Below are 13,879 nucleotides of genomic sequence, written 5' to 3'. Positions count from 1 at the left end.
CGTTGACAACACCAAATGCTGGCAAGTCTGTGGAGTAACAGAAACTCTCATTCATTGCTAGTAGAAATGTAAAATTGTACGGCCATTTTGGAAGACAGTTTGGCAGTTTCTCATAAAACTAAATATACTATTGCCATATGATCCAGCAGTCATGCCCGTTAGTATTACCCAAAGGAGTTGAAAACATGTCCACACAAAAAGTTACACAAGAATGTTTATAGCAGCTTTATGCATAATTGACAAAACTTGCAAGCAACCAAGTTGCTTCTTCAGTAGGTGAACGGATAGACTGTGGTACATCCAGGCAATGAAATACTACTCAGTACTAAAACGAAATGTGCTATCAAGCAATGAAAAGACATGGAGAAAGGTTAAATGCATATTATTAAGTGGAGGAAGACAATCTCAAAAGGCTACATACTATAAGATTCCAACTATATGACATTCTAAAAAACAAAAAAACTATGAAAACAGTAAAAAGAGGTGTAGTTGCCAGGGGTTGAGGGTAGGAGGAGAAATGAATAGGTGAAGCATAGTGGATTTTTAGGGCAGTGAAAATACTCTCTATGACACTAAAATGATAGATGTATGTCATTAGGCATTTGTCCAAATTCATAGAATGTACAATGCCAAGAGTGAACCCTACTGTAAACTATGGATTTGGGGTGATGATGATGTGTCAATGTAGGTTCATCAGTCTTAACAAACGCACCACTCCGGTGGTTGATGTTGATCATGGAGGAGGCCCTGCATGTGTTGGGGCAGGGAATATAAGGGAAATCTGTATCTTCCTCCCAATTTTTCTGTGAACCTAAAACTTCTCCAAAAAATGAAGTCTTTTAAAAACAGAGATACAGAGACCACAAATTGCTAATATCAAGAATGAAGGTGAAGGAGGGACTATCACTACTACTGAACCTATAGACATTAAAAGGACAAAAAAATATTATGAACAGCCTTATGGAAATAATTTTTGCAGCTTAAGTATAAATTCCTTGAGAAATACAACTTACCAAAATGCAGTAAAATAAAATAGAAATATGAAAATTCTCATATCTATTAAAGAAATTGAATCCAGTATCAAAAACTTCCCTACAAAGAAAACTTCAAGCCCAGCTGATTTTACTGGTGGCTTCTGGCTAAAAGTTATAGAACTAATATGAATGTTAACACAAATTCTTTCAGAAAATAGAAAGTAAGAGACTGCTTTCCAACTCATTTATGAAGCTAATGTAACCTTGATATAAAGCTTGATAAGGAAATTACAAAAAATTAAAAAATTATAGAATATCCCTCATGGATACAGATTAAAAAATCCTCAAAGAAATATTAATAAATCAAATATAGAAATATATAAAAATTTATATATCTATTATACATATATATATATATATATATATATACACACTCCAATAGGAGTTTATCCCAGAAATATAAGGTTGTTCTAACATTGGAAAATAAATGTAATTCATCATATTAGCAGATGAAGGGAGAAAAGCTATTCAAGCATTTCAATAGATACACAAGACACATTTGATAAAATGCAATGCCCATTATGCTAGAATCTCTTGGCAAATTAGAAACAGAAAGGAACTACATCAATCTGATAAACAGCTTCTGAGAAAAAATCCTATTATTAAACTCCATGGTAAAATATTGAATACTTTCCCTATAAAATTTTTTAAAAAGCACTTTTTTTACTTCTTCTCAGTATTGTACTGAAGATCCTATCTCATGCAGTGGGCAAGAAAATAGGCATAAAGGTCAAAAAGGAAGAAGTAAAACCAGTCCATCTCTATTCACAGATGACATAATTGTTTACTTAGAAAATTCTAAGGATCTACAAATCTATTAGAACTACTAAGAGAATTTTGCAAGGTCAACATATAAAAGCCAACTGCATTTTTGTACATTGGTAGCAAACAAATTGGAAAATAAAATGTTTTAAAATTCCATTTGCAATAGCTTCAAAAGACATAATATAGTCAGAAATGAATGCCTCAAAAGATGTACAAGACTAAAAACTACAAAACATTGCCCAGAGAAACTAAGAAAAAAAAAACTGACAAGGTCTTTTGGAAATTTTGGAAACATTTAGAAATAATGTTGAAAATGTTATCATATTCATGAGTTGGAAGACTACATTTTTATACCATTTCTTCCCAAATCCCAGCAAAAATGCCACAGTCTTTGTTGTAGAAATCAACAAGCTGATTCTAAAATTTATGTGGAAATGCAAAGAACCTAAAATAGAAATAACTTTAGAGAACTTACACTAACCAACTTCAAGATTTACCCTAAAGCTATAGTCATGAAGACACTGCAATACTGGCAAAACAGAAAAATAGACCAATGCCAGACACTTATAAAATAACTTGGTTTTCAACCAAGGAACCAAAAAAACCCAATGGAGAAGGAAAATTCTTTTTTAACAAATGGTCCTAGAGCAGTTGAAAATCCATATGAGGAAAAGAAAATTAGTCTCAACCACTGCTATACACCATAAAAATTACTTTGAGATGAACTATAAATCTAAATACAGAAGCTAAAACTTTAAATTTTCTCTGTAAGAAAACAGGAAAATATCTTCCCAAGTTAAGGAGAGACAAAATTTTCTGAAGTAGAACACAGAAAGCAAACCATAAAAGAAAAATTTAATAAATAAGACCATCAAAATTAAAAATGTCTGCTCCTCAAATTCAACATTTCAAAAATGAATAGGCAAGTCAAACACTGGAAAAAATAATTTCAAAGCAAAAGACTAAAAGAACTTGTGTTCAGAATATATAAAGTACCCCTGGAACTTAATGACAAAAAGAACAACTCAATTTTTAAAAGGGAAGGGAGCATAAGAAATAACAATTAAATTCAGTATGAGCTGGGCACAGCGGCTCACGCCTGTAATCTCAGCACCTTGGGAGACCACAGCAGGCCGATCACTTGAGGTCAGAAATTCAAAAACAGCCTGGCCAACATAGTGGAATCCCATCTCTTCTAAAAATACAAAAATTAGCCAGGCATCATGGTGCGCGCCTGTAATCCCAGCTACTTGGGAGGCTGAAGCACAAGAATCACTTGAACCCCAGAGGGGGAGGTTGCAGTGAGCCGAGGTGACAGAGTGAGATTCTGTCTCAAAAAAAAAAAAAAAAAAATTTTTAATTTAAATGCAATATGAGATCCTAGATAGAATCTTGGAACACCAAAACTATGGGAAACTGGTGCATTTGAATCAAGTCTAATTTAGTGAATAGTATTGTGCCAGTGTTAATGTCCCTGTTTTGACTATTGTACTATGGCTATATGTGATGTTAACATTAGAAGAAACCAGATGAGGCATATACAGAAACTTTGCATCATTTTTGAAACTTTTTTTGTAAGCTTAAAATTAATTCAAAATAAAAAGGTTTTTTAAATGGGGAAGATTTGAACAGACAATTTGGAAATAGATATATATGAATGGCCAATAGCACATGAAAAGTGCTCAAGTAACTAGTCATTAGAGAAATACAAATTAAAAACACAATTCCAGTATACTCCCATAGAGCAGTTAAAATGAAAAAGAGTGATAATATCAAATAGTGAAAAGGATGCAGAACAACTGTAACACTCATACCTTGTTGGTGAGAACATAAAATGATATGATCACTTTGGGGAAAGGTCTCACAGTTTTTAATAAAATGAAACATATACCCACTCTACTAATTTTACTCCTACATATTTATCCCCCAAAATGAAAACATATGTCCACAAAAAGACCTGTACTAGAATGATGACAGCAGTTTTATTCATAATAGACCTAAATGGGAAACATTGCAGGTGTCCATTAGCAGGAGAATAGCTAAAGAAACCGTGTTATACTCATACAGTGTAATACCACTCATCAATTGAAAGGAATAGACCTACTAATACACTCAATGATGTGGATATATCTCAAAAATATTATGTTGAGTGAAAGAAGTCTTACATAAAAGAACAAGTACTGTAACAGTCCATTCATATAAAGTTTTAGCACAGGAAAAAGTAATATAGAGTGAAAAAAATCAGAAGAGTGGTTGCCTAGGAGTTGTGGCAGTGGTCACTGACTACATGGTGGCCTAAGGGAACTTTCTAGGCCATGATGATGTTCTATATCTTTTTTTTTTTTTTTTTTTTTTTTTTTTTGAGATGGAACCTTGGCTCTGTCACCAGGGCTGGAGTGCAGAGGCGCGATCTGGCTCACTACAAGCTTGGTCTCCCAGGTTCATGCCATTCTCCTGCCTCAGCCTCCCAAGTAGCTGGGACTACAGGTGTCTGCCACCACCCCTGGCTAATTTTTGTATTTTTAGTAGAGATGGGGTTTCACCATGTTGGCCAGGCTGCTCTTGAACTCCTGACCTCAGGTTATCCACCCACCTAGGCCTCCCAAAATGCTGGGATTACACGCATGAGCCACCACACCCGGCCAATGTTCTATATCTTGATAGGGGTTTGGGTTACACAGATGTATGAATAAATATTTATCAAATGATACACTTTTTTTTTTTTTGAGATGGAGTCTCACTCTGTTGCCCAGGCTGGAGTGCAGTGGTGCGATTTCAGCTCACTGCAACCTCCGCCTTCCGAGTTCAAGTGATTCTCCTGCCTCACTCTCCCAAGTAGCTGGGATTACGGGGGTGCGCCACCACCCCTGGCTAATTTTTATATTTTTAATAGAGACAGGGTTTCACCATGTTGGCCAGGCTGCTCTTGAACTCCTGACCTCGGGTTATCTGCCCACCTAGGCCTCCCAAAGTGCTGGGATTACAGGTGTGAGCCACTGCACCCAGCCTCAAGTGATACACTTAAACTTTGTACATTTCACTACATGTAAACTTTACCTTAAAAAATACATACAAATATTGAACTCTAGTTAATGATATGTATGCTGAAGTTCAATATTAAATATAATATGTATGCTGAAGTTCAATAATTAAGTATACTGATACCTTCAACAAACTTTGAAATTCACTTAAAAATAAATTGATGGCTAAACAAAGGGATAGGTAGACGCAGAGATGTGTGACAAAGCAAATACAGAAAAAAATGTTAATTTTAAAATCTAGACCATGGATATGTGGATGTTCAATGCATAATTCTTTCCATTTTTCTGAATGTTTGAAATTTTGCATGTTGGGGGAAAAAGAAAAAGGCAGAACTAATTTTTTAAAGTGAATATATTTTACACAGCATGCAGCGTGGTATAACAAGTTTGAAGTTTAATGATGAATAATTACTTCTTAGCATGCTGTTGATGAGTCAACATTACTTCATTTATAGAGAGTCATAACTAACTTACACTGAGGTCTTACTACCCTCCTGCATTGTTCTAAGCACTTGGGATGGGTTATCTCATTTAATCTTCACAGCAGCCAGACCCTCCACTAATCCATATGGCAATATACTGCAAATTAGAGTACACTCTTTCCTTGAGACACTTTACTACTGTCTGCTGGAAAATTGTCATTGTAACTCCACACTTCTACATGGCTCAGAAGTAAATGACACTGCTGGGGTTGAGCAATGCATGGCTTGCGCATTAACTGATAGCCCTGACAAAAGGCCTGTGAAGTACAGTTACTATCCCCAGGGTAATGTTTGGCCAGTCCTACACGTATAGCAGTGGTTTAAAATATTGAAATATTTACAGGTGGGAAAAAATCAAAACTCAAGCTCCCTGTGGTCAAAACTCAGCCACTGCAGTCATCCGGGCACTTCCCTTAGGACCCTCTGCATCTCTCCATGTTCATCAACTAAAGAACTAGAGAGGGCCCCTGGCTCCTTGCCCCAGGACCAGCACCCAAGTCCACTGTGATTGGTCTAACTGGGTATCTGTGAAGATTATTACAGTTTAACAGCATGCCTGATTATCCCTGATTTACTTCTGAAACTAAGAGACACAAAGTAATTTATCAGAGATCTCAAAGCTCATAAGCTATAGAAACAAGATTTGAATTCAGTATTCTGACCTCATACATAACCACTATATCCACCGTCTCAACATCAAAATTCTGAACGTGAGGCTCATCCCAGATTGTCCTCCTGGTCTGCCTTGACCAGCCCTGGTGACCAGCTCTGTGAACTGTCCTAACACATACTGGCCTTTGGGTGACTGTAACCAGAAGGAAGCCCCCACGAGGGACACTGAGTAAACAGTCTCCTCACCTAGCCCTCAGGGCAGAAACACTGGGATATAACAACCACTATCAGTCTGGGTTCAGTGTGCCACATCCCCAGCTCAGGCTGCAGGTCAGAGCTGGGAGGATGATATTGTTTGGCTCTGTGTCCCCGCCCAAATCTCATCTCGAATTGTAATCCCCACGCGTGGAGGGAGGGAAGTGATTGGATTATGGAGGCCGTTTCCCCCATCCTGTTCTCATGATAGGGAGTGACTCTCATGAGATCTGATGGTTTTAAAAGTGGCAGTTTTTCCTGTACTCGCTTTCACTCTCTCCTGCCACCTTGTAAAGAAGGTGCCTGCTTCCCTTTCCACCATGATTGTGAGTTTCCTGAGGCCCCCACAGCCATGCAGCACTGTGAGTCAATTAAACTTCCTTTCTTTATAAATTACCCAGTCTTAGATAGTATCTTTATAGCAGTGTGAAAATGGACTAATACAGCGGATTAGAATACAAGTTTACCAACAGCAACTTAACTCAGAGTGGACAGGCAGCAATTTCCATGTGCCTCAGGTACATGCTGCTCTCGAAAGTGTTGGAAGACCTTGTACCTTGGCCTCTCAAAAGCTCTGGGACTGTCACATGAAAGATGCCCCAGTGGTCTTCATGATCTGTCTCTTTCCTCAAAATGGGTGTCTAATGAGCCCTACCCTCACCCTTCCTCATGTTAATTAGGACTAGACCTGATCTAACAGAATACAAGATGTGATTGCTGTCCTCAGAGATTGCCCATTGAATCACAGCCTACAGTGAACACAGAAGGATCATGACTGGCCAAGGCAAAATTTTTTATCTTTCCCAAAACAAGAGCAGGTCAATTCTTTTAGGGCAGACTTTGTAGTAGCTACTGTTTCTGCCAATCCAGTGTGCCATCCCTTTCTTATAGCCACAGGCCACAGAGAGGTGGCTTTGGGATTCTAGCCGGGTCAGCTCGAATCCTCTCCTGCGATCCTTTATGATTACAAATCCTCTATGATTACAAAGCTATAGGATATAAGCCCAAAGGTTGTATAGATCACATTCCAACTATACCTTACGGCCCATCAGTGTCCTCCAGGGGTGAAGGAAGGCAACAAGCAGGGCCAAGGGAAACAAAGAAATGGAAAGAGAGGAAAACAGAGAGAGAGGAAAGAGCCCTGAGAGCCCTCAACTTCCATCTTCCAAATAACCCAAAATGTAAGCAACTGTCCCTCCTGCAATTTGGCTGTGAGGATCTGCAAAATCTGAGTTGGGTTTCCGTCACTGACAGTCAAAGAGCTTTGACTAACATAGCTGCATCGCATTCCTATAGACATTCAGAATCAATCCATGAATGCTAGAGGAGTGGGGCGATTACTTCTTGGTAACATTTGACATAGAATCGGGACTTGAAAGATGATACAATTTTTATAAGTGAAATGAAGAGGTGAGAGAAATCCACATCATTTTGAGTAATGACCCTGCAACTGCAATACAAATATAAATTCAGCAGCTACTGTAATGTTTGGTGAGAAGAAAATCCTCAAAAAATCGTTGTTAGAATAATTAATAAGTAAATGAATGAGGGAATGAATATAGTATAGGGAGTAGAAATAGATGCTTACCCAACTGTCAGGAAGCAACACATCCACCACAGACACATCAGAAAAATTATAGGACTGTATGAAATACACAAAACAAGCGATAGAAAGACAAAACAGGAAATTATTTTATCTTGCGGCAAATGTTTTATGTTGATAAAACCGTGTTTTATCAACATAGAAAATAAAGCCTAGGCATGCTATCTTACAGAGGAATCTAACCTCCAATGCCTGAGTAATCTGTTCCTTTAGCCCCCAACAATTCTCACTTTTATGCCCATGAAGAAATGGATAACTTCATGTAAAAAAGAGGAGGTAGTAGAAGGGTTTTGAGCAGATAGAAAACAGAATGAGAAATAGATTTAATGAAGAGCTACTGCTCTGCAACATGGGTAGCCTAGTTAGGATGAGAAGGTGAGTGTGGGAGATTAGTTGGGAGGCAGATGGGGCAGTAATCCAGACCCATGAGCAATGTGACCAGAGAGGAAAAGATAAAAGTAGGAGATACTTAAAGGAAAAAAAAATTGCCAAAGTTATTGATTGATTGGGTATAAAGGACAAAAGAAAAGGAAGCGGAAAAGATCTTGAATCCTTATAGTTGAAACTTCCCACCTAAAATGTCACTATCTTGTCCCAGTTTCATCTTCCAGATAAGAAAAATGGCAAATAACATCCTATTCTGAAATTCTCTGTAAGTCAGCCACTAAGAACCCTGATGCTAAAACAACTGTCATTGTGAAGGACTTTTTGTGGCCTTGTGTTCATCAAAGAGGAAGAGAGATGAGAATTACTGCTCAGAGAAACTTTGCTGTTTCCCACAACCTGGCAGTAATTTATTGTGTGTGCCCAGCTGCTGGCTGAGTTGTTTGTTTTCCATATAAACCTCCTATCTCCACACTGAGCCAAACAGAGCCTCAAAAAATCCCTTCTGTGGGTCAAAATAAGCTCATGCTTAACTGACAGAATGAAAATCAAAATACCAAATGTCTATAGAAGAAAACTCTCCTTCTCTTGGACAACTTTCCTCCCCCTCCACCTCATCCCTGATGACTGTTTCCTATCCCCATCCAGGGCAACTGTTGCCTTTGGAACTGCTGCTCGTCTACCCAGTACCATCTCCTCCCCACCATGCTGCCATTCCTCAACAACAGAACACCTGCACCACTGGATGCAGCCATGGTCCTAACCCAAAGACTACATTTCCCAGCCTCCCTTGTAGCTAATATGCTTAAGGAAAGCTGACTCTGTAGTGAGATATGACCTTTTTGTTCTTCCCTCTTTCATAACATCAAAATGTCAGAGAAGAGGAGTGGAGTTCCAGCAGCCATCTGAGGCCATGAGATGATGTTGGAAATAGCAACCAAATGCCAAGAAGACAGAGCAGAAAGGCAGGGAGTCCAAGTCCTTCAAGACTCCCTTGAGGCACTGCCATAACAACTTGGGGCTGTCTACTGTTGGGTGTCTAATATTGTACATTTCAGCTCATTGCATCCACCCCTGTTGAGAGGGTCACTTCATAGATTTTGAAACTGAATCACAGAGAAGTTAAAGGGATTTTCCCAAAGTTTCATAGGCTATGAGACTTGAATCCAGGACCCCAACTGTCCAATGCTTTTTATACCAGAAGGACTTAACCAAAAGGTCCTAGAAGTAGCTTTCAGCTACAGACACTATGGATTAATTTCAGTTTAGTTTTCTTTATCATCCTGCCCCAAGTTCTCTCTAGAAAGGTCTTGCTACCACACTCAGGTTCTTCCTGGCAAAGACCAAATGTCTGCTCTACCCTATAAGAAAGAAACTTACGGATCCTACTACCAAGAGGAGAGAGGCCATGAACAGGCATTATGACTATAAAGTTCTATAACTAAGCTTTAGAAACCAGAGCAAACTTTCTCCAGGCACATCAGAAAAATGGGCCTGCTGAGCAGTCTCCTCAGAAGGGAAGAGAAGGCCGGGCGGGGTGGCTCATGCTGTAATCCCAGCACTTTGGAAGGCAGAGGCAGGTGGATCACTTGAGGTCAGGAGTTCCAGACCAGCCTGGACAACATGGTGAAACCCCATCTCTACTAAAAATACAAAACTTAGCCAGGCCTGGTGGCACGTGCCTGTAGTCCCAGCTACTTGGGAGGCTTAGGCTGAAGAATTGCTTGAATCCGGAAGTCAGAGGTTTCAGTGAGCTGAGATCGCGCCACTGCACTCCACTGCACTGGGTGACAGAGCCAGACTCCATCTGAAAAAAAAAAAAAAAAAAAGAAAGAAAGAAAAAGAAAAAAAAGAAGGGAAGAGAAGTAATTCCATCAGGAGATCATGTGACTTCCCCCATGACTGGACCCTGAGGGCTTTTCACTTGTTCTTAGAAAAAGCCACAGCAACAGCAAATTGGATGCCACACTACCAATGATCCATCCAAAATCAAGGACTGCAGCCTCAGTCCCAAATAGCAGAGACCGAAATCTTCAGTCTTTCAAAGGAAATACCTCCATTTTTAAATCTTTATTGCACTGTGTTGTACAGGACATTCTCTGTACTAGTTTGAGTGATAAAACAATTAACAAACTACCTTACATCTACAGTTGACCCTTGAACAATGCAGGGATTAGGAGTGCTGATGCCATACACAGTCAAAAATCCACATATAACTTTCAACTCCCCCAAAACTTAACTGCTAATAGCCTACTATTGACTGGAAGCCTTACCAGCTGACAATCAATAAACACATATTTTATATGTTAATGTATTATATACTGTATTCTTACAACAAAGTAAGCTAGAGAAAAAATTAAGAAAATCATAAGGAGGAGAAAATATATTTACTATGCATTAAGTGGAAGTGGTCATCATAAATGTCTTTACCCTCATTTTCTTCACAGTGAGTAGGCCGAGGAGGAGGAAGAAGAGGAGGGGTTGGTCTTGTTGTCTCAGGGGTGCCAGAGGCAGAGGAGGCAGAGGAGACGGAGGAGGTGAAAGGGGAGGCAGGCACACTTGGTGTCACTTTTATTGCCCTAAGCAGTTAAAGCCTGTGGTGTTCAAGGGTCAGCCATATATTCATTTTCTATTTCATACTTCTCCCTTGGCCCATGTTTGTCTCTTCCCAAAATCCATTCCTTTTGTAAAAAAATCTTTTGGAGATATGTGTGTGTTAAAAAAATTTTTAAAGACTACAAAAAATACAAAAATTAGCCAGGTGTGGTGGTGCGTGCCTGTAGCCCCAGCTACTAGGGAGGCTGAGGTGAAAGAATCCCTTGAACCCAGGAGGCAGAGGTTGCAGTGAGCTGGGATTGCACCACTACAGACAGAGTGAGACCCTCTCTCAAAAAAAAATAAATAAATAGAAAAGAAAGAAGTGTGAGAAGGAAGGGGTATGGCCTTCAGAAAACTAAGAACTGTTTGAAAGGGAAGAGCAAGGAGAGTGTGAGCTGAAGGAAATAATATTGGGCCCAGAATGAAATACACCCAAAAGGCAGCTGGCTTAGCTTTTTTTGTGCTGCTGTAATGTGTTCTGGAGGCTTCTCGGAAGTTCTCAGAATGCAGGATAATTTGCAGTTGAGGGGCTAATGAATAGCTGTCTCCTAATAATAGAACTTCTAATCATTTTTATTTCTCTAGATCAAAGAATCGTAATTCCTTAAAGGCAAAAACAAACATAGCAAATGCTAGACACCACCACCTGAGGGTAAGTTCTGAGGTTCCCATGGGGTGTCGATCTGGAGTAAAGCTGCCTAAAGAGCAGATTACTGTTCGAAAGAACAAACTAATTCAGCATGTGACCTTAAGACACTGCTTCTCCTGGCCTTCATGATTTCCCATGAGAAAGTCACTATCTTTCCCATTGTTTCCCCCTTTCAGTAAAACTCTCTCATTGCTTTTAGGACTTTGCCTTTAGTTTTCAGAAGTTTGCTTATTCTGTGTCTTGGCATAGATCTCCAATTTATCCTGTTTTGGGTTTACTCATCTTCTTTAATCTGCGGCTTTATGTTGTGTGTCAAATTTGGGACGTTTTCAGCCATTATTTCTTTGAATACCTTTCAGCTTCTTGCCTTTATTCTCTTTTCCTTCCCAGACTTGATGACATGAATTAACATTCATTTATGTTAAAGAATGTTGAAGAATGTTATGTTAAAGAATGTTAAAGAATGTTAATTAACATTCTTTTGTTATAGTTCCATGGGTCATTAAGGCACTGTCCCTTTTTTGTTTTGTTTCAGGCTATTTTCTCTGTGTTCAAAATTTCTGTTTTTCTATCTTCAAGTTCATTTATTCTTTCTTTTATTCCCTGGATTCTGATGTTAAGCCTATCCATGGAGAGTTTTGTTATTGTATTTTTTGGTTTTAAAATTTCCATTTGATTCTTTTTTTATATCTTCTATTTTTATTGTACTGTGATTTTCTCTTTTTTTGGTGAGACTTTCCATTTTATTTGTTTCAAGCATGTTTATAATCGCTTGTTGAAGCATTTTTATGACGGCTACCTTAAAATCATTCTCAGATTATTTTATTGTATTTTTTTAGAGCTGGAGTCTTGCTCTGTCACCCAGGCTGTAGGGCAGTGGCATGATTATAACTCACTGCAGCCTCCAACTCCTGGGTTCAAGCAATCCTCCTGTCCCAGCCTGTCAAGTAGCTAGGACTATAGGTGCATGTCACCACACCTGGCTAATTTTTAAATTTTCTGTGAAGATAGATTCTTACTATGTTGCCCAAGCTGCTCGCAAACTCCTGGCCTCAAGCAATCCTCCCACCTCAGACTTCCAAAGCACTGGGATTACAGGCATAAGCACCGCAGGCCCGGCCTCTCAGGTAATTTTAACATCTGGGTCATATTGGCATTGGCATCTGTTGATTGGCTTTTCTCCTATCAAGTTCTTGGGATAAGTTGAGACCAGATCTTAATTAAATCTCCTGTTTTGGCAGGCCTTCTCTAACACTGCTCAGGCAGGTTGAGGAAAAGGGCACCACATTGCAGCCTGACTGGGTGAAAGGTCAGATTCCACTCAGCCTCTGTTAATAGTCAGTGGGTGGGAAGATCCCTCATGACTGCTGTGCAAGGGTGGGAGTTCTGGCTCCCTATTAAGCCTCTGCTGATGCTGTCCTCATGCCATATTATTCCTCAAGTCCCAAGGTCCTTAGTCCATCTGACTTTTTCTGTCCACCTTTCAGGGTCTTCTTATGTTTGGTTTACATATAATGTCCAGAGTTTTAAGCTGTACTTAGCAGGAGAATTAAGGAAAAGTACTTATATGCCATCTTTTTGGAAGTGGAAATACCTAGTCTTTTTGGATACTGTGTTCTTTTGTGTATACATTCAATCCCTTACTTTTTGAACATTTAAAACACACATTTTTTTTGTACACATAGCTTGTAATTTTCTTTCTGCAGTCTTTGCCTATGTTTTTCTGCAATTTGCGGTTAGTGTTGACTCTTGCTCATGTGTCTGATTCCTCAAGTTTTCTTGATGTTATTCTGAGCTTACCATTACCATTTAACTTTGGGAATCCCAAAAGGCTTGGATTGAGACGATTTGTCTTGATTTCTGCTGGGTGCTTGGAAGCAGTTGCCAACTGGAAAACATTTCTAATTAATTTCTTGGATTACAGGTTTCTCAGACTGCAGGTGACGTAAGTTCAAACTCCAGGACTATATGGAAGTACAGTCATAATTACAATATTATCGATTTTTTTTCTACGCAGTATCATTAATCCTCTCTCTGACCCCTCACTCATAGATGAAGGCCAGGACCCATCAGAGAGGCCCAATGATGCCACAACTTCAGGATACTGTCTCCACCCCTAGCTTCTATCTTTGGAGGTATGTGTTTCATTGTCTTCTTCGTCTTCTCCTCAGAAGAGAATTTTGCTCAAAGAATGTTTCCATACAATTTCAGAAACTCTATTATTTTACTGCACATCCTTCAGAGGGGATGGTCTCTGTTTTTTATAATCAAAGATATTTATTTTTCCCAAATGTCTTTCTTCAAATAGGACAGTCATGTATTCTGTCTGTGCCATAGTTGGGGTACAGGTTTGAGGTATCCCAAGAGCTTGGGGTTTGAGAAGGAAGGGGCCAGCTCCAGCTCTGAGTGCCTGCTTTGGCTTCTGAAGAGTGACCACGTGTGAGGAGGGAGGCTAA

General features: G+C 39.2%; 1 annotated feature.

Annotated features, from left to right (window-relative positions):
* Window positions 11,500-12,049: an enhancer, noted in NCBI's record as "OCT4-NANOG-H3K27ac hESC enhancer chr9:7240589-7241138 (GRCh37/hg19 assembly coordinates)". NCBI's record gives its function as "activates a minimal SCP1, AML or CMV promoter by ChIP-STARR-seq in naive H9 embryonic stem cells {active_cell/tissue: H9 hESC(naive)}" and the evidence as "EXISTENCE:reporter gene assay evidence [ECO:0000049][PMID:30033119]".

The sequence above is a fragment of the Homo sapiens genome, chromosome 9, assembly GCF_000001405.40.
Source record: "Homo sapiens chromosome 9, GRCh38.p14 Primary Assembly".
Lineage (NCBI taxonomy): Eukaryota > Metazoa > Chordata > Mammalia > Primates > Hominidae > Homo > Homo sapiens.
The sequence above is the reverse complement of the archived record's forward strand: the minus strand, read 5'-3'. Positions and strand labels throughout refer to the sequence as shown.